The sequence below is a fragment of the Homo sapiens genome, chromosome 5, assembly GCF_000001405.40.
Source record: "Homo sapiens chromosome 5, GRCh38.p14 Primary Assembly".
Taxonomy (NCBI): domain Eukaryota; kingdom Metazoa; phylum Chordata; class Mammalia; order Primates; family Hominidae; genus Homo; species Homo sapiens.
This window is the reverse complement of record NC_000005.10, coordinates 179,681,579-179,706,083: the sequence shown is the minus strand read 5'-3', so window position 1 is coordinate 179,706,083 and position 24,505 is coordinate 179,681,579. Positions and strand designations below refer to the sequence as shown.

Below are 24,505 nucleotides of genomic sequence, written 5' to 3'. Positions count from 1 at the left end.
AGTATTTTCACGAATTTTGCTTTCCCTTTGAAAACGTTCCAAATTTATCTTCACCATGTTTTTCTTTTATATTTTATTAGAGATGATATCTCCCTGTGTTGCCAAGGCTGGACTCACACTCCTGTCCTAGGCCTCCTGAGTAGTTGAGACTACATTTCCCTGCACCCGGGTATCTTCATAATTTTATCATCTCAAGACGTAAAAGGAATAGATTCAAAGACCATTTCAAACCTTGGGAGATGAAGGAGGAGCAGTGGTATCTGGTTTTGAGTCTTCTACCTCTTCAATGACATCGTCAAGGTCATCCTCAATATCAATCACATCATCATCATGTCCATCATGAGCCTCAACAATAGCAGTTCCAAGCACCAGTAACATACACAGCAACCACTTCCCTTCCATGATCTACACATAAAGAGCAAAATCAGTTAAATGTATTGCCACCTATCAAACTTCATGAAGATCACTAACCACTCTCTCATTTAAAATTAAAGCTTTTAAATCGCAGAGCTAAAAAGAACTTACTATTTCATTTCATAGATAAAGAAAGGCAGCCTAGAGAGATTAAAGGGTTTCCCTAAAATCAGTTAAAAGATTCCATTTCTGGAAAATTTCAAAATAAAACTGAAACATACACAACATCCTCATATAGAGAGGATTGGTTACACAGATGTGGGGCATTCAAATACAATTTCCAACAAACTTTTGCATTTGTAAAGTGCTTTACAACAGACAAAAGCCCTTTCATACACTAATTTACAGGGGGTACCCGTTAAAACATTACAATGAAATAACAGAGATGGCCGGGCGCCGTGGCTCACGCCTGTAATCCCAGCACTTTGGGAGGCCGAGGCAGGTGGCTCACTAGGTCAGGAGTTCACAACCAGCCTGGCCAACATGGCGAAACTCTTCTCTACTAAAAATACAAAAATTAGCTGGGAGCGATAGCGGGCGCCTGTAGTCTCAGCTACTTGGGAGGCTGAGTCAGGAGAACTGCTTGAACCCAGGAGGTGGAGGTTGCAGTGAGCACGCCACTACACTCTAGCCTGCGTGACAGAGCAAGAGTTCGTCTCAAAAAAAAAAATTAACACAGAAGATAATTCCTCTCATATTAAGGCTTAATATGGATACGGTTGCTCAAATATCATCAATAGACATGTTTTCAAATTAGCGTTTTAGAACTCAAAAAGAATATTAAACTAAGAACAAGCTACTTTTTAAAATTTATATATTTTATTTATTTATTTTGTGATGGATTCTCCCTCTGTCGCCCAGGCTGGAGTGCAGTGGCACCATCTCAGCTCACTGCAACCGCCGCCTCCCAGGTTCAAGTAATTCTCCCACCTCAGCCTCTTGAGTAGCTGTGATTACAGGCACCCACCACCATGCCCGGCTAATTTTTGTACTTTTAGTATAGACAGGGTTTCGCCATGTTGGCCAGGCTGGTCTCGAACTCCTGACCTCAGGTGATCCACCTGCCTCAGCCTCCCAAAGTGCTGGGATTACAGGCGTGAGCCACTGCACCTGGCCAAAACAAGCTCCTTTTTTTTTTTTTTCCTGAGATGAGTCTTGCTCTATCGCCAGGCTGGGATGCATTGGCACTATCTTGGCTCACTGCAACCTCCGCCTCCTGGGTTCAAGTGATTCTCCTACCTCAGCCTCCCAAGTAGGTGGGATGACAGGTGTGCACCACCACATCCAGCTAATTTTTGTTATTTTTAATAGAGACAGGGTTTCACCGTGTTGGCCAGGATAGTCTCAATCTCTTGACGTCGTGATCTGCCCGCCTCGGCCTTCCAAAGTGCTGGGATTACAGGAGTGAGCCACCGCACCCGGCTTATCTCTTCTTTTCTAACCACGTAAGCGCCCTGTGTATTATATTAGATGTGTCTTGGGGTAGTGGCTCTCTTTCCACGGAGGACCACAGATCTAAAGAAATAAAAACTGAGCTACACAGATGCACAAGATGATGTGGTTGGTAGCAGGTAAATTTTCATTTTTGGGCTTGAGAAAGTACAGGTACAAGGTGGGGGAGAAAACAAGTAGAAGATACACAACTAAAAATGTGTGCGCACACACACACAAGATGTCCTTTTCTCCTCACATCCTCTGCCCACACAGTCACCCAATCAATCATAGTCTTTCACTCTTCTCCATTACTGACATCAGGATACTTAATGTTACCTTATATTACCAGGGCCTCTAGTTTCCTCCTCCTCTTTCAAGCTATCCTACAAGAAGACTCATCACCCAAAAACTATCATGAGTCCATGTTTGCAAAAATTTCTAAGTCTTTTAGCTAGTAATCAGCACCCTCTCCCTCTATAGCTGCTCTACATGCTATTCCCCCAGGAATCTTCAACTTCCTCTATTAAGACCTTATTTCCCAGCCTGGCCAACATAAACATAGCCTGACCCTGTCTATACAAAAAAAAAAAAAAATTATCCTGTCTCTACAAAAAATCAAAAAAAGAAAAATTTAGCCAGGTATGGTAGCACACACCTGTTGTCCCAGATACTAAGAAGGCTAAGGTAGGAGAAGCCTGAGTCTGACAGGTTGAAGCTAAGTGAGTCGTTGGGCAGGGTGGGGTGGCTCACGCCTGTAATCCTAGCACGTTGGGAGGCTGGTAGACTGCCTGAGCTCAGGAGACCAGCCAGGGAAACATGATGAAACTCCGTTTCTACTAAAATACAAAAAATTAGCCGAGTGTGGTGGCGCACACCTGTAGCCGCAGCTACTCAGGAGGCTGAGGGAGGAGAATCGCTTGAACCTGGGAGGCGGAGGATGCAGTGACCCGAGATGGCGCCACTGCACTCCAGCCTGGGCCACAGAGACTCCACCTCAAAAAAAAAAAAAAGACTCCACCACTCCACCAGGCGCGGTGGCTCACGCCAATAATCCCAGCACATTGGGAGTCCAAGGCAGGCAGATCATCTGAGGTCAGGAATTCGAGACCAGCCTGGCCAACATGGCAAAACCCTGTCTCTACTAAAAATACAAAAATTAGCTGGGCAGGCTGGGCGTGGTGGCTCACACCTGTAATCACAGCACTTTGGGAGGCCGAGGCAGGTGGATCACCTGAGTTCGGGAGTTCAAGACCAGCCTGACCACCACGGAGAAACCCTGTCTCTACTAAAAACACAAAATTAGCTGGGTGTGGTGGCAGATGCCTGTAATCCCAGTTACTCAGGAGGCTGAGGCAGGAGAATAGCTTGAACCCGGGAAGTGGAGTTTGCAGTGTGAGTTGAAATCACGCCACTGCACTGCAGCCTGGCCAACAAGAGTGAGACTGTCTCAAAAAAATAAAAAATAAAGTGAGCTGTAATGGCACCACTGCATTCAAGCCTGGGCAACAGAGTAAGACTGCCTTAAACAAACAAACAAACAAACAGAAAAAGAAGGCAGAGTTTCAGAGATATTTGCAGACCCGTGTTCATAGCAGTACTACTCACAACAGCCAACAGTCAGAAGCAACCCAAGTGTCCATCAATGGATGAATGATTAAACCATATGTGGCATAGGCATACAATGGAATACTATTCAATCTCAAAAAGGAAGGAAATCCCATCACCGGCTATAACATGGATGAACTTTGAAGACAATATGGTAAGTAAAATAAGCAATTCACAAACAGATACCACAAAGTTTTAAAAAAGAAGGAAGGAAGGAAAGGAGGGAGGGAGGGAGGGAAGAAGGGAGAGAAAGAAAGCTGAGCTTAATTTCTGGTCTCCTGGTTGGCATCGTGGCTCGCGCGTGTAATCCCAGAACTCTGGGAGTTGGAGGAAGCAGGATGATCGCTTGAGCTCAGGAGTTCGAGACCAGCCTGGGCAACAAAGCGAAGTATCTATGAAAAATTAGGAAAAAAAAAAAAATTAGCTGAGTGTAGCGTCATCCGCCTGTGGATCCAGCTACTCAGGAGACTGAGGCAGGAAGATCACTTGAACCAATAACAGCAGGAGTTTGAGACTGCAGTGAGCAATAACCACGCCACTGCACTCCAGCCTGATGAAGAGCAAGACCCTGTCTCTAAAAAAATAAGTAAGGCTGAGCGCGGTGGCTCACACCTGTAATCCCAGCACTTTGGGAGGCCGAGGTGGGCGGACTGCCTGAGCTCAGGAGTTCGCAACCAGCCTGGACAACCCGGTGAAACCCCGTCTCTACTAAAATACAAAAAACCGGGCCGGGTGTGGTGGTGGGCACCTGTAGTCCCAGCTACTTGGGAGGCTGAGGCAGGAGAATTGCTTGAACCCAGGAGGCGGAGGTTGCAGTGAGCCAAGATCACACCACTGTACTCCAGCCTGAGAGGGAGACTCCGTCTCAAAAAAAAAAAAAAAAAAAAAAAAAAAGTACATCTGTTGGAGTAACAAAGAATTCAACCAGGACTTTCCTGAAAAGTTTTACCAAAAGCTGTATAGGTTTTAACTGTTTAGGTACTTTTATTATTTCCTAGGAGTTATTATAAACGGCGTATTCTATTTGCACAGTTCATTACACTTTTTTTTTTGTTTTTCCTGAGATGGAGTCTCACTCTGTCACCCAGGCTGGAGTGCAATGGAACCATCTCCGCTCACTGCAACCTCCGCCTTCCAGGTTTAGTGATTCTCCTGCCTCAGCCTCCCGAGTAGCTGGAGGTTAATTTTCTGTATTTTTAGTAGAGACAGGGTTTCACCATTTTGGCGAGGCTGGTTACCAACTCCTGGCCTCAAGTAATCCGCCCACCTCAGCCTCCCAAAGTGCTCGAACTACAGGCGTGAGAGCCACCGTGCCCAGCCAATTCATTACACTTTTTAAAGTAGTTTCATGTTCACCATTTTATCTGCCCCTCCCAATTGCCCCCTAAAGGTGAGGAACCCAGGAGACTTCTCATTCCTATTTTGAAGTTACGGAAACCAAAGTGGGACAAAAGCTACCACACTGGGCCGGGCGCAGTGGCTCACGCCTGTAATCCCAGCATTTTGGGAGGCCGAGGTGGGCGGATCACGAGGTCAGGAGATTGAGACCATCCTGGCTAACACGGTGAAACCCCGTCTCTACTAAAAATACAAAAACAAAATTAGCCGGGCGTGGTGGCGGGCACCTGTAGTCCCAGCTACAAGGGAGGCTGAGGCAGGAGAATGGCGTGAACCCGGGAGGCGGAGCTTGCAGTGAGCCGAGATCGCGCCACTGCACTCCAGCCTGAGTGACAGAGCGAGACTCCGTCTAAAAAAAAAAAAAAAAGGTTACCACACTGGGCACACAATTCAAGTTTCATGAGCCTGCAATTCATGCTCACCAACTGCCACTTCATCCCCTTAAGCTGTCTTCCAGGGCAAAGAGAACTCTAACTAAAAGGATGCAATAGTGTGATTGCCAAAACGGCAGCAACGACTTCTGTCAAAACACTTATCCCTTGTGGCCCTGAGAAGATAATGCGCTAAATGAACTGGGGAGTAAGGATAGTAAGGTGTCGGGGAATGCTGACAGCCATTTGCAGATAAGTCAGAAAATTTCTGTTGTGCAACACTGACCCCCACACACAGTTCACTCGAGCATTCTCATGATCCAGTTACCTGGCTTGTGTGTGCACCCTGGCTGATGCACAGGAGAACTCCCACATAGTCCTTTACCTCTGCTCTAAGTATAATTATACCAAATGTACAACAGTTGATCCATATGGCAGTTGCTTCTATTCATGACCCTCAAACAATGTTGGGAAAAGACTGAGATACAGAATGATTTTAAAGATCAATAAAATTCTTCCCCCTTAAAAAAATCTACTTATTAAAAAATTAAGCAAAATCTTCCATTTCCTAAATCAGAGGTAAAAAGACTTAACTATGGTTAATCTTGTCCTCTCAATCTTTTAATATTAAGCTCAGTTTAACTTCCCTCAACCAGCAATCACTTGTGTCATGCCCAGCGGTAATACACAATGCCCGGTTTCTTCTATCACCATAACTGTGACCTCAGGTCCTGCGAAACAGGACTGAACCAGTTCACTAGGATGGCAGTGTATTGGTCCAAAGGCATTCAGATTATAATAACGTACCGCAATGATCATCGAGCAGTTACTAAATGTCGGACTTCCCTGTCTTATTGTATACATATCTTAATTTAATCCTCACAAATCCATCGGGTATTATTATATCCATTACTTGACAAGAACGGGGGCACAAAGGGTAAGAAAACTGCCGAAGTTCACAGAGCAACCAATGACCAATCAAAGACTCGAGCCAGGGCCTTAGCGTTAACCACTGCACGGTCTATCCCTGAACTATAATCCCAGCACCATCAGTACACTAATCGCATGACCTTGGGCCAGTCATTTCATACCTCCAGGCCTCCGGTGTGGAAAGAGATGCACTTAGATGAGCTTTCGGGGGCTTTCCTGCTTTTAACGCCCTGTCCCTCTCCAACTGGATTACTCGCCTCCAGAATAGGTGCTGTAACTGCTAAGTTTCTCAACCACTGCGTGTTCTCCTTCTGGTACATTCCCCTTTCTCTTCAGGGAACTAGGGTCCAGTCTCCGCTTTGGATTTTCAAATATTAAACTGTAACGCTAGTTGTAAACATTCCCTCTCGGTCTAATACCACCCTTCCCTACTACTAGGGGTACCTAGTAGGCCCGATTCCACCCTATACTTTTACCCAGTTACTCCAGCCCACCTCGCGGCTGCCCAGGCAGCCGGCAAAGAGGCCTAAGAAAGCCCTAGAAGCAAAGCCATAGGAATAAGTCAGCTTTCCCAGAGGTCAAAGAAGGCTGTCGGGCCACCTGCCACGCCTCCCGACCCCGGCGGCGCGGCCTGGGCCCGCAACCCAACCAAAGACGCCCGGATTCGGGCCTCCTCGCTCACGGCGGGCGCGTCGGCCAGGGCCTGGGCCCTCAAGAGCCAGCCCGACCCCTCAGTCGCCGGCCACGCCCGACCCCTCAGCCGCAGAGGCGCTCCCAGCCCCCCGAGGTCCTCACAGGCCCGAGGACGCGCTCAGGTCTCCCCTCTCACCTCTAGCCTCCCGGGGACCGCGGGGGTGCCCGTGCCCCTTCCCGCCCGCACACCTTGCCCCGCGCCGCAGTAAAGAGAGAGGCGGAGGCGGCCCGACCGTCACGTGCCGCAGAACCAAGAGGCCTCGGCCACCGCTGCCGCGCGAGCGAGCCCCACCGCACGAAGCCCGGCCCTGTGCCCGCCCCTGGCCCCTGAGTAGCCACAGCCGGCGCCAAGTCCCGCCCTCCCGCGCAAGCCCCGACATCCGGTTGGCCGGCGTGGGCATCGCTCTACGCACCGTCCCATACGCCCCCTACGGCTATTCTTCGTGGAGTGTGAAGATTGGCCGGGAGTGAGGCAGGAAGTGGCTGTTGGTTGGGCGGGAGGTGAGGGGCGGGCCACGCTGGATCGAGACCGCCGGGCGCGCGCGTCTCGGGGCGGGGCTGGTTTAACAGGCGTTCCCGCGTCGGTTGCTGTGGTGCCTTCGGGGCGTTCCAACCCAACCCCCAGTAGCCCTCACCCGTCTGGTTCCTGGAGCCGAGACTTGGGACGCATCGCGCGCCCTTCGCTGACGGGGCAAACGGCAGCCGGCAAAAGGGGTAGGAGTCCGACGATCGGCCATCAGGAAGGGCCCGTTGCAGCGAACGCGGGCCCCTACGGGCGTGAGCAGAACCCAGCGCGAGCGCCTGGCCGGATTGGCGTGCACTGCTCCGCGCTGTGTGAGCCGGCGCCGCAGTTCCTGCAGAGTCATGGCTCGGCCCAGGAGCCTGCGCAGCCTCGTCGCCCAGCATAACACACAGTCCAGAATAATATAATCCGAGGTTATTTGAACTTTCAATTTATGTTTCCTGAAGTGAGATTAGGTGTCAGGGCAGAGAGATACAGGGATGACAGGACGAGAGAAAGGATGGTGCCATGGAAAGATTTAAGATACGCCACCATTTTAGTAACCCACTCTTAGTACATCTTCAGTTTTCAGTATGCTGAGAACCTCACAAAATGGAAGTGGCCCAGGGTTTTTCTAGACCTTTAGAGATCCTGATCTCTTGTTCTCTATTTGTTTGGACACCCAAAGGCTTGACTACTAGGGTGGAAAACACTAGAATCAGCGAATGTATCACTGATCTGAAAAGCCCTCTTGCCACCGGGAAGGGGAAGAAAGGCAGGGTTTGGTGTTTGCATGAGTTAGTATCATCCAACCCTCAACCCCCAAATTTTTTTTATTTTTATTTTTTTGAGACGAAGTCTTGCTCTGTCGCTCAGGCTGGAGTCTAGTGGTGCGATCTTAGCTCACTACAACCTCCGCCTCCCGGGTTCAAGCGATTCTCCCTCAGCCTCCCGAGTAGCTGGGATTACAGGCGCCCGCCACCACGCCCGGCTAATTTTTGTATTTTAGTAGAGACAGGTTTCACCATGTTGGCCAGGCTGACCTCAGGTGATCGACCTGCCTCTGCCTCCCACAGTGCTGGGATTACAGGCGTGAGCCACGGCGCCCCAACTTCAGCCCCAAAATTTGTGTAGGAGAATTTTGGTTTCCTGTCTACCTGGGGAAGCAGCTATTCAAAGCAGAATAAAATTCTGGATGCTACATGATCCAAATAATGAGCTTAAAATGTAGTTACAGGAAGTACATTTGTGAGCAAAAGAGCTACTCCTGCAAAGGTAAGTGCCAAAAGACTGTGGTACTATGGAGAATTCAATGGGATTCTGAAGGGGAGGGACTGCTTCCATCCAGAATGGACTGGCAAAGAGGTCAGAATTGGCTGGGCGAGGTGGCTCTCCCTGTGATCTGAGCACTTTGGGAAGCTGATGCAGGTGGATCATTTGAGGCCAGGAGTTCAAGACTAGCCTGGGCAACATAGTGAGACCCCTGTCTCTACAAACATAAAAATAAAAAAATTAGCCTGGCATGGTGCACACCCGTAGACCCAGATACTAGGAAGACTGAGGCAGGAGTATCCTTGACTCCTGATTGAGGAGGCTGCAGTGAGCTAAGATCAGGCCACTGCATTTCATCCAGCCTGGGCAACAGAGTGAGAACCCGTCTCTAAATAAATAAATAATAAAAACAAACAGATGTTTTACATGGGCATCGTTTGTGCAGTCCAAAGCAATTACAATAGTAACATCAACCTGGATCACCATGACAGATATAATAATGAAAACATATTATACGAATTCCCAAAATGTGACAGAGACCAGAAGTGAGTACGTGCTGTTGGAAAAATGGTGCTTATAGACTTACTTGATGCAGGGTTGCCACATTCAATTTGTAAAAACACAGCATCTGTGAAAACCAATAAAAGGAAGTGCAGTAACAAGAGGTTTACAGCCTGTTTACATTCTGACATGGAGCAACAGTCAAGATTTAGTGTCATGTGAAAAAGCACAGAGAAAGGTGTGTTTCCTTTCATACTGAAAAGGGAGATGTATTCTCATACATGTAAGCTTGGCCAAACAAGCTTACTAGAAAGAAACACGAGAAACTGCTAGGAAAGGTTAATGCTGGAGAGGGGGCCTGAAACTCTAGAAGCAGAAATACTTTCTTGGCCAGGCACAGTGGCTCACGCCTGTAATGCCAGCACTTTGGGAGGCTGAGGCGGGCGGATTACCTGAGGTCAGGAGTTCAAGACCAGTATGGCCAACATGGTGAAACCCTATCTCTACTAAAAATACAAAAATTAGCCGGGCATACTGGTGCACACCTATAGTCCCAGATACTCGGGTGGCTGAGGCAGGACAATCGCTTGAACCCGGGAGGCAGAGGTTGCAGTGAGCCAAGATTGTGCCACTGCACTCTAGCTTGGGTGACAGAGCCAGACTCTGTCTCCAAAAAAAAAAAAAAAAAAAAAAAAAGAAATGACACTTTCTTTAAACATGCATATGATTTTTTCAACAAAGAATCAGGCCGGGTGAGGTAGCTCATGCCTCTAATTCAGCACTTTGGGAGGCGAAGGTGGGTGGATCACTTGAACCCAGGATTCAAGACCAGCCTGGGCAACATGACAAGACCCCATCTCTACAAAATATACAAAAATTAGCTTGGCATAGTGGCTTGAGCCTGTAGTCTCAGCTACTCAGGAGGCCGAGGTGGGAGGATTGTCTAAGGCCAAGAGGTCAAGGCTGCAGTGAGCCAAGATTGGGCCACTGTACCAGAGTAACACCCTGTCTAAAAAAATAAAAATAGGCCAGGCACAGTGGCTCACGCCTGTAATCCCAGCACTTTGGGAGGCCGAGGCGGGTGGATCATGAGGTCAGGAGATCGAGACCACGGTGAAACCCCATCTCTACTAAAAATACAAAAAATTAGCCGGGCGCAGTGGCGGGCGCCTGTAGTCCCAGCTACTCGGGAGGCTGAGGCAGGAGAATGGTGTGAACCCGGAAGGCGGAGCTTGCAGTGAGCGGAGATTGCGCCACAGCACTCCAGCCTGGGCGACAAAACGAGACTCCGTCTCAAAAAAAATAAAAATAAAAATAAATAAATAAATAAAAATAGGCCAGGCACAGTGGCTCACGCCTGTAATCCCAGCACTTTGGGAGGCCAAGGCGGGTGGATCACCTGAGGTCAGGAGTTCGAGACCAACCTGACCAACATGGAGAAGCCCTGTCTCTACTAAAAATACAAAATTAGCCGGGCATGGTGGCTAATGCCTGTAATCCCAGCTACTCGGGAGGCTGAGGCAAGAGAATCGCTTGAACCCAGGAAGCAGAGGATGCGGTGAGCTGAGATTGCGCCATTGCACTCCAGCCTGGGCAACAAGAGTGAAACTCCGCCTCAAACTCACGCCTGTAATCCTAGCACTTTGGGAAGCCGAGGCGGGTGGATCACGAGGTCAAGAGATCGAGACCATCCTGGCTAACACGGTGAAACCCCGTCTCTACTAAAAAAAACCACACACACAAAAAAATTAGCCGGGTGTGGGGCGGGTGCCTGTAGTCCCAGCTGCTGGGGAGGCTGGGGCAGGAGAATGGCGTGAACCCGGGAGGCGGAGCTTGCAGTGAGCTGAGATCGCGCCACTGCACTCCAGCCTGGGAGACAGAGCAAGATTCCGTCTCAAAAATAAATAAATAAATGAAAGAAATAAAAACTTAAAAAAGGAATAAATTTTAGCTTTAGCTTTTGTACTTTTTTCAAAATAGGCAGTATGTTTAAAAGAGTAAACAAAATTGTTGATCCATTTATCCTTCGTATCCAGCTTCTTCTCATAGCTTGTCTCTCCATCCTTCCCTCAAAGCCACCCTCATCCTTGCTCATGCCTACCTTTTGCTTGAAGGAGAAAGTGGGCACACAGAGAGAGGGAGCACTCACATTTTTATCCATTTACTTTTTTTTTTTTGACAGATAAACACTTTGTTTATTCATCCTCCTCCTCATCTCCTCCTCGTCTTCATCTTCCTCTTCCACCTTTTTCCAGGCAACTTTAGCAGGACGCTTTGAGCCATCAAACTTCCCTTTCGACTTAGAATCAGCAACATCCTTCTCGTACTTCTCCTTCAGCTTTGCCGTCTTAGTGATGTAAGGCTGCTTTTCACTGTCATTTAAGTTATTCCACATCTCACCCAGCTTTTTTGCCACATCTCCAATAGAGATGCCAGGGTTTGTGGATTTGATCTTGGGGCGGATTTCCGAAGAGAACAGGAAGAATCCAGATGGTGGCCTTTTGGGGGCACTAGGATCCTTCTTCTTCTTGCCTCCCTTAGCTGGTCCCTTCATTTCCCGATCACAGTGCACTTTATCCGTCTTTGCCATTTCATCAAATTTAGACTTCTCTTTCCCGGACATTGTCTTCCACCTTTCAGAGCACTTCTTGGAAAATTCTGCAAAATTGACAGGGTTTTTCTTTTTACATTCTTCTCTGCATGTCTGCACAAAGAAGACATAAGCAGACATCTTGCCCTTTGGTTTCTTGGGGTCACCTTTAGCCATCCTGGCTGTATTGTTCGCTCTCATTCCTTTTTTTTTTTTTTTTTTTTTTTTTGAGACGGAGTTTCTCTCTTGTTGCCCAGGCTGGAGTGCAATGGCAGGATCTCAGCTCACAGCAACCTCGGCCTCCCGGGTTCCAGCGCTTCTCCTGCCTCAGCCTCCTGAGTAGCTGGGATTACAGGCATAAGCCACCACGCCCGGCCCATTACTTTCTTAATAGTTAGGCTGGTAATGGTCATTTCTCTAAAGTTTCTCTATACTCATGCTAATCTGGCATTGTCAAAATGATGGACAAAGAAAAAGATATGTAACTATGTTAATTGAAGTTTATTTTATTACAGTGAAATTAAACTTTTTTTTTTTTTAAGACAAGTTACCGGCCAGGCTAGAGTACAGTGGCACAATCATGGCTCACTGCAGCCTCAAACTTCTGGGCTCAAGGGATCCTCTTGCCTCAGCCTCCCAAGTGGCTAAGACTATAGGCATGCACCACCATGCGTGGCTAGTTTTTATTTTTATTTTATTTTTTTGAGACAGATTCTCACTGTTGCCCAGGCTAGAGTACAGTGTACAATCTCGGCTCACTGCAACCTCTACCTCCCAGTTTAAGCGATTCTCCTGCCTCAGCCTCCAGAGTAGCTGGGACTACAGGCATGTGCCACCTCACCCGGCTAATTTCTCTATTTTTAGTAGAGATCGGGTTTCGCCATGTTGGCCAGGCTGGTCTCAAACTTCTAAGCTCAGGTGATCCACTTGCCTTGGCCTCCCAAAGTGCTGGGATTACAGGCCTGAGCCACCGTGCCCAGCCTAATTTTTATTTTTTGTAGAGATAGAGTCTCACTTTCTTGCCCAGGCTGGTCTCAAACTCCTGGGCTCAAGTGATCTCCCTGCCTCAGCCTTCCAAAGTGCTGATATTACAGGTGTGAACCACAGCACCTGGCCAACATTTTTCATGTTCATTAACCATATATATTTTTTTTCCTTTGTGAATTCTCTATTCATGTCGTTTGTCCATTTTTCCACTATAGGGTTTGTCTTTTTTTTTTTTTTTTTTGAGACGGAGTTTCACTTTGTTGCCCAGGCTGGAGTGCAGTGGCATGATCTCGGCTCACTGCAACCACCACCCTCCGAGTTCACATGATTCTCCTTCCTCAGCCTCCTGAGTAGCAGGGACTACAGGCGCCTGCCACTGTGCCCGGCTAATTTTTTGTATTTTTAGTAGAGATGGGGTTTCACCTTCTTGGCCAGGCTGGTCTTGAACTCCTGACCTCGTGATCCACCCGCCTTGGCCTCCCAAAGTGCTGGGATTACAGGCGTGAGCCACCACGCCCAGCCTAGGTTTTGTCTTTTTCATACTGGTTTGTAAGGAATCATTATGTACTATGTGCTCATGCGATGGCTCTTGCCAGTAATGCCAGCAATTTGGGAGGCCGAGGCAGGCAGATCACTTGAGCCCAGGAGTTTGAGACCAGCCTGGGCAACATGGCAAAACCCTATCTGTACAGAAAATAAAAAATTAGTGGCATATGCCTGAGTGCCAGCTACTCAGGAGGCTGAGGTAGGTGGATAGATTCAGCCCAGGAGGTTGAGGCTGCAGTGAGCCATGATCATGCCACTGCACTCCACTAGCCTGGGCAACAGAGCAAGACCCTGTCTCTAAAAAATAAAATAATTAGACAGGGGCTCTTTGTTGCTCAGGGGCTGCTCCAAGTGATCATCCTCCATTGGCCTCTGAAAGTGCTGGGATTACAGATGTGAACCACTGCTCCCAGACCTTTAAGAGCTTTTAAACCGGGGGCTCTTTTTGGTTATAAGGAACACAGATGGCCAGGCATAGCGGCTCATGCCTGTAATCCCAGCACTTTGGGAGACCGAGATGGGCAGATCATTTGAGGTCAGGAGTTCAAGACCAGCCTGGCCAACATGGTGAAACCCTGTCTCTACTAAAAATACAAAAATTAGCCGGGCATGGTGGTGCGTACCTGTAGTCCCAGCTACTTGGGAGGCTGAGGCAGGAGAATCACTTGAACCCAGGAGGCGGAGGTTGCAGTGAGCCGAGATCGCACCACTGCACTCCAGCCTGGGCAACAGAGCGAGACTTTGTCTCAAAAAAAAAAATAGGCCGGGCACGGTGGCTCACGCCTGTTATCCCAGCACTTTGGGAGGCTGAGGTGGGTGGATCATGAGGTCAGGAGATCGAGACTGTCCTGGCTAACATGGTGAAATCCCGTCTCTACTAAAAAATACAAAAAAAATTAGCCGGGCGTGGTGGCGGGTGCCTGTAGTCCCAGCTACTCGGGAGGCTGAGGCAGGAGAATGGCGTGAACCCGGGAGGCAGAGCTTGCAGTGAGCTGAGTTCGTGCCACTGCACTCCAGCCTGGGCGACAGAGCGAGACTCCGTCTCAAAAAATAAATAAATTAATTAAATAAAATAAATAATAAAGAAGAGAGATATAGTGAAACTACCTCAAGGAAAGTATATAGGGATGTCAAAGAGCCCAAGGAGAGGAAGAGAGTACTGCCTCGCCTCATGCTATCCCGAGCTGGGATTGCAGTGTAGTGGCTCTTCCTGTCTTCCAGAGCCAAATGACATCTGCTTCATTCTCCCTTTCATGATCAGGCAATTTGACTCATTTTTTTTTCTTTTTTTTCTTTGCAGAGATGGGATCTCCCTGTGTTGCCCAAGCTGGTCTCAAACTCCTGGGCTTAAAGGGATCCTCCCACCCTGACCTCACAAAATGCTGGGATTACAGGCATGAAGCACTGTGCCCGGCCCACTCACTTTTTTACTCAGCTTGGTCTGCCTGAAAAAACAATACACTGGCTAACATTTCAAAATATTAACCAGCCACACAGTGTTGTTTAAATGTATATAGGCCAGGCATGATGGCTCACACCTGTAATCCCAGCACTTTGGGAGGCTGAGGTGGGTGGATCACTCGAGGCCAGGAGTTCGAGACCAGCCTGGCCAACGAGGCGAAACCCCATCTCTACCAAAAATACAAAAATTAGCTGGGCATGGTGGTAGGCCCTGTAATCCCAGCTACTCGGGAGGCTGAGGCAGGAGAATTGCTTGAACCTGGGAGGCAGAAGTTGCCATGAGCCAAGATCATGCTGCTGCACTCCAGCCTGGGCAACAGAGTGAGCACAGTCTCAAAAAAATGAAGTAAAAAAATAATATATCAATGTCTATAAACATAAACCCACTATAAATTTATAGCTCATATCAATATAAAACCATGTTTATAATTTTACCTATAATACAAACCAAAAAGTCAAATTAACATTTATGTTACTTATTATTTTTTTTTTTGAGAGAGTCTCACTCTGTCGCCCAGGCTGGAATGCAGTGGCATGATCACGGCTCACTGCAAGCTCTGCCTCCTGGATTCAAGTGACTATCATGTCTCAGCCTCCCAAGTAGCTGGGATTACAGGCGCATGCCACCGCGCCCGGCTAATTTTTGTATTTTTAGTAGAGACGGCTTCCACCATGTAAGTCAGGCTGGTCTCCAACTCCTGACCTCGTGATCCACCTGCCTGAGCCTCCCAAAGTGCTGGGATTACAGGCGTGAGCCACTGGGCCCAGCCTTTTTTCAGATTTTTTTTTTTTTTTTTTTTTTTGAGATGAAGTCTCACTCTTGTCCCCCAGGCTGGAGTGCAGTGGCGCGATCTTGGCTCACTGCAACCTCCGCCTCCCAGGTTCAAGTGATTCTCCTGCCTCAGCCTCCCAAGTAGCTGGGATTACAGGTGCGTACCACCACACCTGGCTAATTTTTGTATTTTAAGTACAGACGGGGTTTCACCATGTTGGCCAGGCTGGTCTTGAACTCCTGACCTCAGGTGATCCACCCGCCTCGGCCTCCCAAAGTGCTGGGATTACAGGCGTGAGCCACTGCGCCTGGCCAACTTCTTTTTTAAAACTATATTAGCACAGAGAACACCATGTTGTTTCAGGGAAGGGCAAATGTCACTAACAGACTATCACAGAAGCCAGACTGAAATTTCCATGGGGAAAAACAAGATTTAGCTTCCTTGGTTTGGGGAATATTCCTCTTGGTTGCCAGAAGAGACCCACTGACATTCACACCCAGTGTGATTCACAGCCAGTGTGGTAGAAATGCTGGTGATGTGGAAAACTCTGAAAAATCTTCAGATGCTCTTCTCCTTTCCTTTCTGCCATCAGAATAAACCTTATGTCCTTCAATTCAGACCTGTTGGGACCCGGTAGCACACCCTTCCCTTCCTCACGGGCTCCAAACCTCATCTTTTCAGTGACATTGAGATGGGGATCCTCAAAGGAACCAGGAGCCATTTTTTAAATTGTGAATCTTTAAATTCTGAAGTCTTCATTAAATGTCCTCAAAATCAAGGTCTTCTTGTGAAAGGAGTTAACATCCATTTTAAGTGGGAATTATCCATCATCTCTCCTAACATTTCCTGTTCAAATAATCAAATAAAGACTTCCAGGAGTAGGCAAGAACTTAAAAAAGAAGAAGAAGAAAAAAAGAGGCCGGGTGTGGTGGCTCACGCCTGTAATCCCAACACTTTGGGAGGCCGAGGCGGGCGGATCAGCTGAAGTCAGGAGTTTGAGACCAGCCTGGCCAACACGGTGAAACCCTGTCTCTATTAAAAATACCAAAAAATTAGCCAAGCATTGTGGCGGACGCCTATAATCCCAGCTACTCAGGAGGCTGAGACAGGAGAATCGCTTGAACCCAGGAAGCAGAAGTTGCAGTGAGCCAAGATTGCGCCATTACACTCCCACCTGGGCAACAAGAGCAAAACTCTGTCTCAAAAAAAAAAAAAAAAAAAAAAAAACTTGTTGGGTTTTGTAGCTTTCTCTTTTTGGTAGGCCATGAAATAAGGGAAGTTGTGTACCATTCCTAGTGGTCATCTATGATCGGTCTGACGTATGTTTTCGTTGGTTTTTTGTTATTGTTGTTCTTGCTGTCGTTTTTGAGACAGCTCTGTCACCCAGACTGGACTGCTGTGGCACGATCTCTGCTCACTGCAACCTCTGCCTCCTGGGTTTAAGCGATTCTCAGCTTCCCAATTAGCTGGGATTATAGGCGCACACCACCATGCCCAGCTAATTTTTTATTTTTATTTTTAGTAGGGAGGGGGTTTCACCATGTTGGCTGGGCTGGTCTTGAACTCCTGACCTCAAGTGATCCACCCGCCTTGGCCTCCCAAAGTGCTGAGATTACAGGCATGAGCCACCACACCCGGCCTCTTTCTGTTGTTTTTTTGAGATAGTGTCTCACTCTGTTGTCCAGGCTGGAGTGCAGTGGTACGATCATGGCTCACTGCACCATCAAACTCCTGGCCTCAAGTTATCCTTTTGCCTCAGCCCCTGGAGCACTCTGGCTAATTTTCGTATTTTTAGTAGGGGTTTCACCATGTTGGCCAGCCTAGTTTCGATCTCCTGAGGTCAAGAGATCCACCTGCCTCAGCCTCCCAAAGTGCTGGGATTACAGGCATGAGCCATCATGTCTGGCCAAATATCATGATTGCTAATGAAAATTGACCTTAGGCGGCCGGGCGCAGTGGCTCACGCCTGTTATCCCAGCACTTTGGGAGGCTGAGGCAGGTGGATCACAAGGTCAGGAGATCGAGACCATCCTGGCTAACACGGTGAGACCCCGTCTCTACTAAAAATACAAAAAATGAGCTGCGCGTGGTGGTGGGCACCTATATTCCCAGCTAGTTGGCAGGCTAAGGCAGAAGAATGGCGTGAACCCGGGAGGCAGAGCTTGCAGTGAACCGAGATTGTGCCACTGCGCTCCAGCCTGGGCGACAGAGTGAGACTCCGTCTCAAAAAAAAAAAAAAAAAAAATTGACCTTAGGCCAGGCACCGTCGCTCACGCTCGTAATCCCAGCACTTTGGGAGGCTAAGCCAGGCGGATCCTGAGGTCAAGAGATCAAGACCATCCTGGCCAACATGGTGAAACCCTGTCTCTAAAAATACAAAAATTAGCTGGGTGTGGTGGCGCTAACCTGTAGTCCCAGCTACTCGGGAGGCTGAGGGAAGAGAATCGCTTGAACCCAGGAGGTGGAGGTTGCAGTGAGCCGAGATCGTGCCACTGCACTCCAGCCTGGCAACAGAGCGACACTCCATCTTAAAAAAAAAAAAAAAGAATACTGACTTTATTTATTTATTTTTGAGAGGGAGTCTTGCACCATTGCCCAAGCTGGAGTGCAGTGGCACTATCTTGGCTCACTGCAACGTCCACCTCCTGGGTTTAAGTGACTCTTCTGCTTCAGCCTCCCAAGTAGCTGGGACCACAGGTGTGCGCCACCACACCCAGCTAATTTTTTGTATTTTTAGTAGAGACAGGGTTTCACCATGTTGGCCAGGCTCATCTCAAACTCCTGCCCTCAAGTGATCTGCCTGCCTCAGTCTCCCAAATTGCTGAGATTACAGGCATGAGCCACCGTGCGTGGCTGAAAATTGACTTTAATAACATAGACATACTGTGGAGGGAGAAAGAATGAATATGAATCACTGGCTTGGTTAAAATATTCCTGGGCTCTGATTCCATGTCCATCAGACAACCTTCTGGGGGTTGATTTAAGCTCTTGAGTGTCTTCATGACAAGAAGAGAAAGCTTTCAACAGTGAGCATGAGGGTTTATTTGTGAACACTGACAATCAAATTCTAAAATTTATATGGAAATACAAAGGACCTAGAAAGCCAAAGCAATCTTAAAGAATATTATTGGAAGATTTACATTACTAGGTATCAACAGTATTGGTGCAACGATAAACAGACCAAGCACAAGAACACAGAGCACAGGCCGGGCGCGGTGGCTCACGCCTGTCATCCCAGCACTTTGGGAGGCCGAGGCGGGTGGATCACGAGGCCAGGAGATCGAGACCATCCTGACTAACACGGTGAAACCCCGTCTCTACTGCAAATACAAAAAAATTAGCCGGGCGTGTTGGCGCATGCCTGTAGTCCCAGCTATTTGGGAGGCTGGGGCAGGAGAATGGCCTGAACCCGGGAGGTGGAGGTCGCAGTGAGCCAAAATCATGCCACTGCACTCCAGCCTGGGTGACAGAGCGGTAGCCGGGCATGGTGGCATGTCTCAAAAAACAAACAAACAAACAAAAAAACTGCAGGCCGGGTGCAGTGGCTCATGCCTGTATTCCCAGACCTTTGGGAGGCCAAGGCAGACGGATTACCTGAGGTCAGGAGTTCAAGACCAGCCTGACCAATATGGCAAAACCCTGTCTCTACTAAAAATACAAAATTAGCCAGGCATGGTGGCAGGCACCTGTAGTCCCAGCTACTCAGGAGGCTGAGGCAGGAGAATTGCTTGAACCCTGGAGCCGGAAGTTGCAGTGGGCCGAGACTGTGCATTGCACCCCAACCTGGGCAACAAGAGCAAAGCTCTGTCTCAAAGAAACAAACAAACAAAAACTGCAATTTGAGCAGGCATGGTAGCTCACGCCTGTAATCCCAGTACTTTGGGAGGCTGAGGCAGGCACAACGCTTGAGCCCAGGAGTTCAAGCCCAGGAGTTTTGCAACATGGCAAAAGCCCATCTCCACTAAAAAATACAAAAGTTAGCAGGGTGTAGTGGTGCCTCCCTGCAGTCCCAGCTACATGGGAGGATCACCGGAGCCTGGGGAGGTCAAGGCTGTGGTGAGCCATGATCACACCACCAATAGACTCCAGCCTGGGCAACAGTGAGACCGTGTCTCAAAATAACAACAAGAAAAACTGCAATCATTAAGACAAACAGTCCAATTTTTAAAATAGGCAAAAAGACTTGAACCACTAAAAAAAAAAAAAGATGGCCGGGCTTGGTGGCTCACACCTGTAATCCCAGCACTTTGGGAGGCCGAGGCAGGCAGATCACTTGAAGTCAGGAGTTCAAGACCAGCCTGGCCAACATGGTGAAACCTCATCTCTACTAAAAATACAGAAATTGGCTGGGTGTGGTGGCGCGTGCCTGTAATCCCAGCTACGCAGGAGGCTGAGGCAGGAGAATTGCTTGAACTCGGGAGGTGGAGGTTGCAGTGAGCCAAGATTGAGCCATTGCACTCCAGCCTGGTGACAGAGCGAGACTCCGTCTCAAAAAAAAAAAAAAGACTTGAACAACCACTTCATCAAAATAGATAACAAATACCCACATGGAAAGATGCTTAATAGCATTGGCTGTTAGAGAAATGCAAATTAAAACCTCAATTTATTAAGGATGAGGCTGGGCACGATGACTCACGCCTGTAATCCCAGCATTCTGGGAGGTCGAGGCAGACAGATAACCTGAGGTCAGGAGTTTGAGACTAGCCTGGCAAACATGGTGAAACCCTGTCTCTACTAAAAATACAAACATTAGGCAGGGCGTGGTGGCTCACACCTATAATTCCAACACTTTGGGAGGCCAGGGCAGGTGGATCACCTGAAGTCTGGAGTTTGAGACCAGCCTTGCCAACATGGTGAAACCCCACCTCTACTAAAAATACAAAAATTAGCTGGGCGTGGTGGCAGCTGCCTGTAATCCCAGCTACTTGGGAGGCTGAGGCAGGAGTATCTCTTGAACCCAGCAGGCAGAGGTTTCAGTGAGCCGAGATCACGCCACTGCACTCCAGCCTGGGCAACAAGAGCGAAACTCCATCTCAAAAAAAAAAAAAAAAAAAAAAAAAGCTGGGCGCGGTGGCTCACGCCTGTAATCCCAGCACTTTGGGAGGCCGAGGTGGGCAGATCACCTGAGGTCAGGAGTTCAAGACCAGCCTGACCAACATAGAGAAACACCGTCTCTACTAAAAATACAAAATTAGCCAGGCATGGTGGCACATGCTTGTAATCCCAGCTACACGGGAGGCTGAGGTGGAGGTTGCAGTGAGCCAAGATTGCACCACTGCACTTCAGCCTGGGCAACAAGAGTGAAACTCCATCTCAAAAAAAACACAAATAAACAAAAAAATTAGCCAGATGTGGTGGCGTGTGCCTGTAATCCCAAGTACTCAGGAGGCTGAGGCAGAAGAATCGCTTGAACCCAGGAGGCGGAGGTTGCAGTGACCCGAGGTTGCGCCACTGCGCTCCAGCCTGGGTGACAGGGCGAGACTCTGCCTCCAAAAATTAAATAAGTAAATAAATAGATAGATTTATTAAGGCCGGGCACAGTGGCTCAAGCCTGTAATCCCAGCACTTTGGGAGGTAGAGGCAGATGGATCACTTGAGGTCGGGAGTTCAAGACCGGCAGGGCCAACATGGTGAAAACCCTGTCTCTAGTAAAAAAAAAAAAAAAAAAAAAAAAAAAAAATACAAAATTAGCCAGGTGTGGTGGCACACGCCTGTAATCCCACTTAGGAGGCTGAGGCAGGAGAATTGCTTGAACCCAGGAGGTGAAGGTTGCAGTGAGCTGAGATCATGCTATTGCACTCCAGCCTGGGCAACAAAAGTGAAACTCCATCTCAAAAAATAAATAAATAAGTAAAATAAATTTATTAAGGATGAGCTTGCTGTTAAAAATTTAAAACAACAACAAAACAACAGCAAAAACCCCACAATTTAGACACGCTACCACTATGGCTAAAATTAAAAAGGCTTGGCCGGGCACGGTGGCTCAAGCCTGTAATCTCAGCACTTTGGGAGGCCGAGGTGGGTGGATCATGGGGTCAGGAGATCAAGACCATCCTGGCTAACACAGTGAAACCCCGTCTCTACTAAAAATACAAAAAAATTAGCCGGGCGTGGTGGCGGGCACCTGTAGTCCCAGCTACTCAGGAGGCTAAGGAAGGAGAATGGTGTGAACCCGGGAGGTGGAGCTTGCAGTGAGCTGAAAAAAAAAAAAAAAAAGGCTTACTAGCTGGGCCCTGTGGCTCCTGCCTGTAATCCTAGCACTTTGGGAGGCTCAGGTGGGAGGATCCCTTGAGCCCAGGAGTCTGAGACCAGCCTAGGCACCACGGTAAGACCCCGTCTCAAAAACGCCACCACCACCTTTAATTAAGCGAATTTTTTAAAAATGAAGGTTTACCAAACCAAGTGTTGGCCAGGATACAGAGAAACAGAAACTTTCACTCACTGTTAGTGGCTTAATAAAAAGGTAAACATGCACCTGCCATATGACACAGTCATTCTATTCCTAGGTGTTTACTTAAGAGAAATGAAAGCATATGTCCACACAAAGATGAGCAAAAATGTTCAGAGCAGTTTTATTTGCAATAGCCCCCAAACTGGAAACAACCCAAATGTGCATCAACAGCTGAATGGAAAAACAAATTGTGTGGTGTTTCCATACAATGAAATACTACTCAGCAATAAAAAGCAATGAACTGTTAATAAATGCAACAACATGGATAAATCTTAAAATAATTATGCGGCGAGAAGCCAATGCCAAAAAAAATCTATACTGAGGCTGGGCGCGGTGGCTCACACCTGTAATTCCAGCAGTTTGGGAGGCCGAGGCAGATGGATCACTTGAGGCCAGGAGTTTGAAACCAGCCTGGTGAATATGGTGAAACCCCATCTCTACTAAAAATACAAAAATTAGCTGGGTGTGGTGGCAGGCACCTGTAATCCCAGCTACTTGGGAGGCTGAGACAGGAGAATCACTTGAACCCAGGAGGCAGAGGTTGCAGTGAGCTAAGATCATACCACTGCACTCCAGTCTGGGCAACAAAGTGAGACTCCTCTCAAAAAAAGAAAAAAAGGTAATGGATACCTCCAGATGGATACATTATCTTGATTTTGGGAATGATTTCACATAACAAATTATCGAAATACTTCACATTATACATTATAAATATATGTAGTTGGCCGGGCGCGGTGGCTCACACCTGTAATCCCAGCACTTTGGGAGGCTGAGGTGGGCGGATCACAAGGTCAGGAGATCGAGACCATCCTGGCCAACACGGTGAAACCCCATCTCTACTAAAAAAAAAAATACAAAAAATTAGCCAGGCATGGTGGCGGGTGCCTGTAGTCCCAGCTACTTGAGAGGCTGAGGCAGGAGAATGGTGTGAACCTCGAAGTGGAGGTCGCAGTGAGCTGAGGTAGCGCCACTGCACTCCAGCCTGTGCGACAGAGCGAGACTCCGTCTCAAAAATAAATAAATAAATAAATGTAGTTGATTTTGTCACTTATACCTCAATAAAACTATTACAGAAGTTTCCTAGGAGGTGGCACCACCACCGGGCTCTGCCCCAGCTTGTGAGCTCCTGTGGATCTGGGTCTGTCCCTTGCAGTCAGGTGGGTGGGCTTAGTAGGTAGGACTGACGTCATTTCCTTCCACTGTCCGCACACGTGGCACGTGTCCTTCAAACATGCCCAGCCACTTCCCTCCTCTACCCCCAGGTCTTCAAGGGATTGGGGTCTCCTTATTGTTCAGGTTTTAGCAAGAATGTCAAGGGCCTTCACCGAGCACCACATCTAAATTACTTCCTACTCCTCACCCTGTCCCAAAATCACTTTCTGTATTTCCCTGGTTTGTTTTCTTCACTGTACGTATCAGAATTAGGGTTTTTTTTTTTTTTTTTTTGAGACAGAGTCTCGCTCTGTCACCCAGGCTGGAGTACAGTGGTGTGATCTCGGCTAACTGCAACCTCTGCCTCCTGGGTTCAAGCGATTCTCCTGCCTCAGCCTCCCAAGTAGCTAGGATTACAGGCATACACCACCATGCCCGGCTAATTTTGTATTTTGAGAAGAGATGGTGTTTCTCCATGTTGGTCACGCTGGTCTCAAACTCCCAACCTCAGGTGATTTGCCTGCCTCGGCCTCCCAAGGTGCTGGGATTACAGGCGTGAGCCACTGCACCCGGCCAATTTTTTGTATTTTTATTAGAGACAGGGTTTCACCATGTTAGCCAGGATGATCTCGATCTCCTGACCTCATGATCCGCCTGCCTCAGCCTCCCAAAGTGCTGGGATTACAGGCGTGAGCCACCGTGCCCGGCCTGGATATTCTTATTAATTTAATCATTCCTTTTTTTTTTTTTTGAGATGGAGTTTCGCTCTTGTTGCCCAGGTTGGAGTGCAGTGGCACAATCTTCGCTCATTGCAACCTCTGCCTCCCAGGTTCAAGCAATTCTCCTGCCTCAGACTCCTGAGTAGCTGAGATTACAGGCACCCGCCACCACACCCGGCTAATTTTTTCTATTTTTAGTAGACACGGAGTTTCACCATGTTGGTCAGGCAGTTCTCGAGCTTCTGACTTCAGGTGATCCACCCACCTTCCCCTCCCAAAGTGCTGGGATTTACAGGCATGAAACATCGCGCCTGGCCCTCTTTTTTTTTTTTTTTTTTTTAAACACAGGGTCTCTATCGCCCATGCTGGAGTGCAGTGGCACAATCACTGCTCACTGCAGCTTTCACCTCTTGGGCTCAGGTGATCCTCCCACCTCAGCCTCTTGAGTAGCTGGGACTACAGTCGCATGCCACCACGCCCAGCTAATTTGTTTTTGTAGAGATGGGGTCTTGCCATGTTGGCTAGTCTGCCCTTTCATTTTCATCATCTATCCTATTATCTTCCTCCCTCCTCAGCTGGCGCCCTACTGAGATCCCTATCACTGGTGGTGCACCCATCCCATAGGTGCTGTAGGAGCTGGCTGGTAACTCTCAGCTGCCCTGGCCAATAACTGACATGTAGAAGGAGGGTACAAAAGACGGGCTCC

At 48.1% G+C, this 24,505-nt stretch overlaps 1 protein-coding gene and 1 pseudogene across 14 annotated transcripts in view, besides 6 other annotated features; both read right to left on the bottom strand.

Moving 5' to 3' along the window:
- Window positions 1-24,505, bottom strand: part of CANX (calnexin) — a 52,986-nt gene that overhangs the window by 25,558 nt on the left and 2,923 nt on the right. For 6 of the 14 annotated variants that reach the window (NR_157048.1, NM_001363995.1, NM_001363998.1 and 3 more), the window contains exons 1-2: window positions 6,982-7,155; window positions 232-405 (exon numbers count right to left, since the gene is read on the bottom strand). Coding sequence is in view for 11 of the 14 variants with exons in the window: in NM_001363995.1 (NP_001350924.1) it covers window positions 232-402 (171 nt within the window). In the remaining 3 variants the exon portion in view is untranslated. Of the gene's footprint in view, window positions 1-231; window positions 406-5,550; window positions 5,610-6,313; window positions 6,510-6,981; window positions 7,156-7,258; window positions 7,298-7,480; window positions 7,658-24,505 lie in introns of those variants that run through there. The other 8 variants (NM_001363993.1, NM_001363994.1, NM_001363996.1 and 5 more) reach the window with 8 other exon arrangements.
- Window positions 348-848: an enhancer, noted in NCBI's record as "OCT4-NANOG-H3K4me1 hESC enhancer chr5:179132237-179132737 (GRCh37/hg19 assembly coordinates)". NCBI's record gives its function as "activates a minimal SCP1, AML or CMV promoter by ChIP-STARR-seq in primed H9 embryonic stem cells {active_cell/tissue: H9 hESC(primed)}" and the evidence as "EXISTENCE:reporter gene assay evidence [ECO:0000049][PMID:30033119]".
- Window positions 849-1,349: an enhancer, noted in NCBI's record as "OCT4-NANOG-H3K4me1 hESC enhancer chr5:179131736-179132236 (GRCh37/hg19 assembly coordinates)". NCBI's record gives its function as "activates a minimal SCP1, AML or CMV promoter by ChIP-STARR-seq in primed H9 embryonic stem cells {active_cell/tissue: H9 hESC(primed)}" and the evidence as "EXISTENCE:reporter gene assay evidence [ECO:0000049][PMID:30033119]".
- Window positions 5,863-5,922: an enhancer, noted in NCBI's record as "active region_23757". NCBI's record gives its function as "activates an Ori minimal core promoter by ATAC-STARR-seq in GM12878 lymphoblastoid cells {active_cell/tissue: GM12878}" and the evidence as "EXISTENCE:reporter gene assay evidence [ECO:0000049][PMID:35858748]".
- Window positions 6,733-7,022: a silencer, noted in NCBI's record as "silent region_16732". NCBI's record gives its function as "represses an Ori minimal core promoter by ATAC-STARR-seq in GM12878 lymphoblastoid cells {active_cell/tissue: GM12878}" and the evidence as "EXISTENCE:reporter gene assay evidence [ECO:0000049][PMID:35858748]".
- Window positions 7,063-7,472: a silencer, noted in NCBI's record as "silent region_16731". NCBI's record gives its function as "represses an Ori minimal core promoter by ATAC-STARR-seq in GM12878 lymphoblastoid cells {active_cell/tissue: GM12878}" and the evidence as "EXISTENCE:reporter gene assay evidence [ECO:0000049][PMID:35858748]".
- Window positions 7,483-8,012: an enhancer, noted in NCBI's record as "active region_23756". NCBI's record gives its function as "activates an Ori minimal core promoter by ATAC-STARR-seq in GM12878 lymphoblastoid cells {active_cell/tissue: GM12878}" and the evidence as "EXISTENCE:reporter gene assay evidence [ECO:0000049][PMID:35858748]".
- On the bottom strand, window positions 11,298-11,906 carry HMGB3P22 (high mobility group box 3 pseudogene 22; annotated as a pseudogene).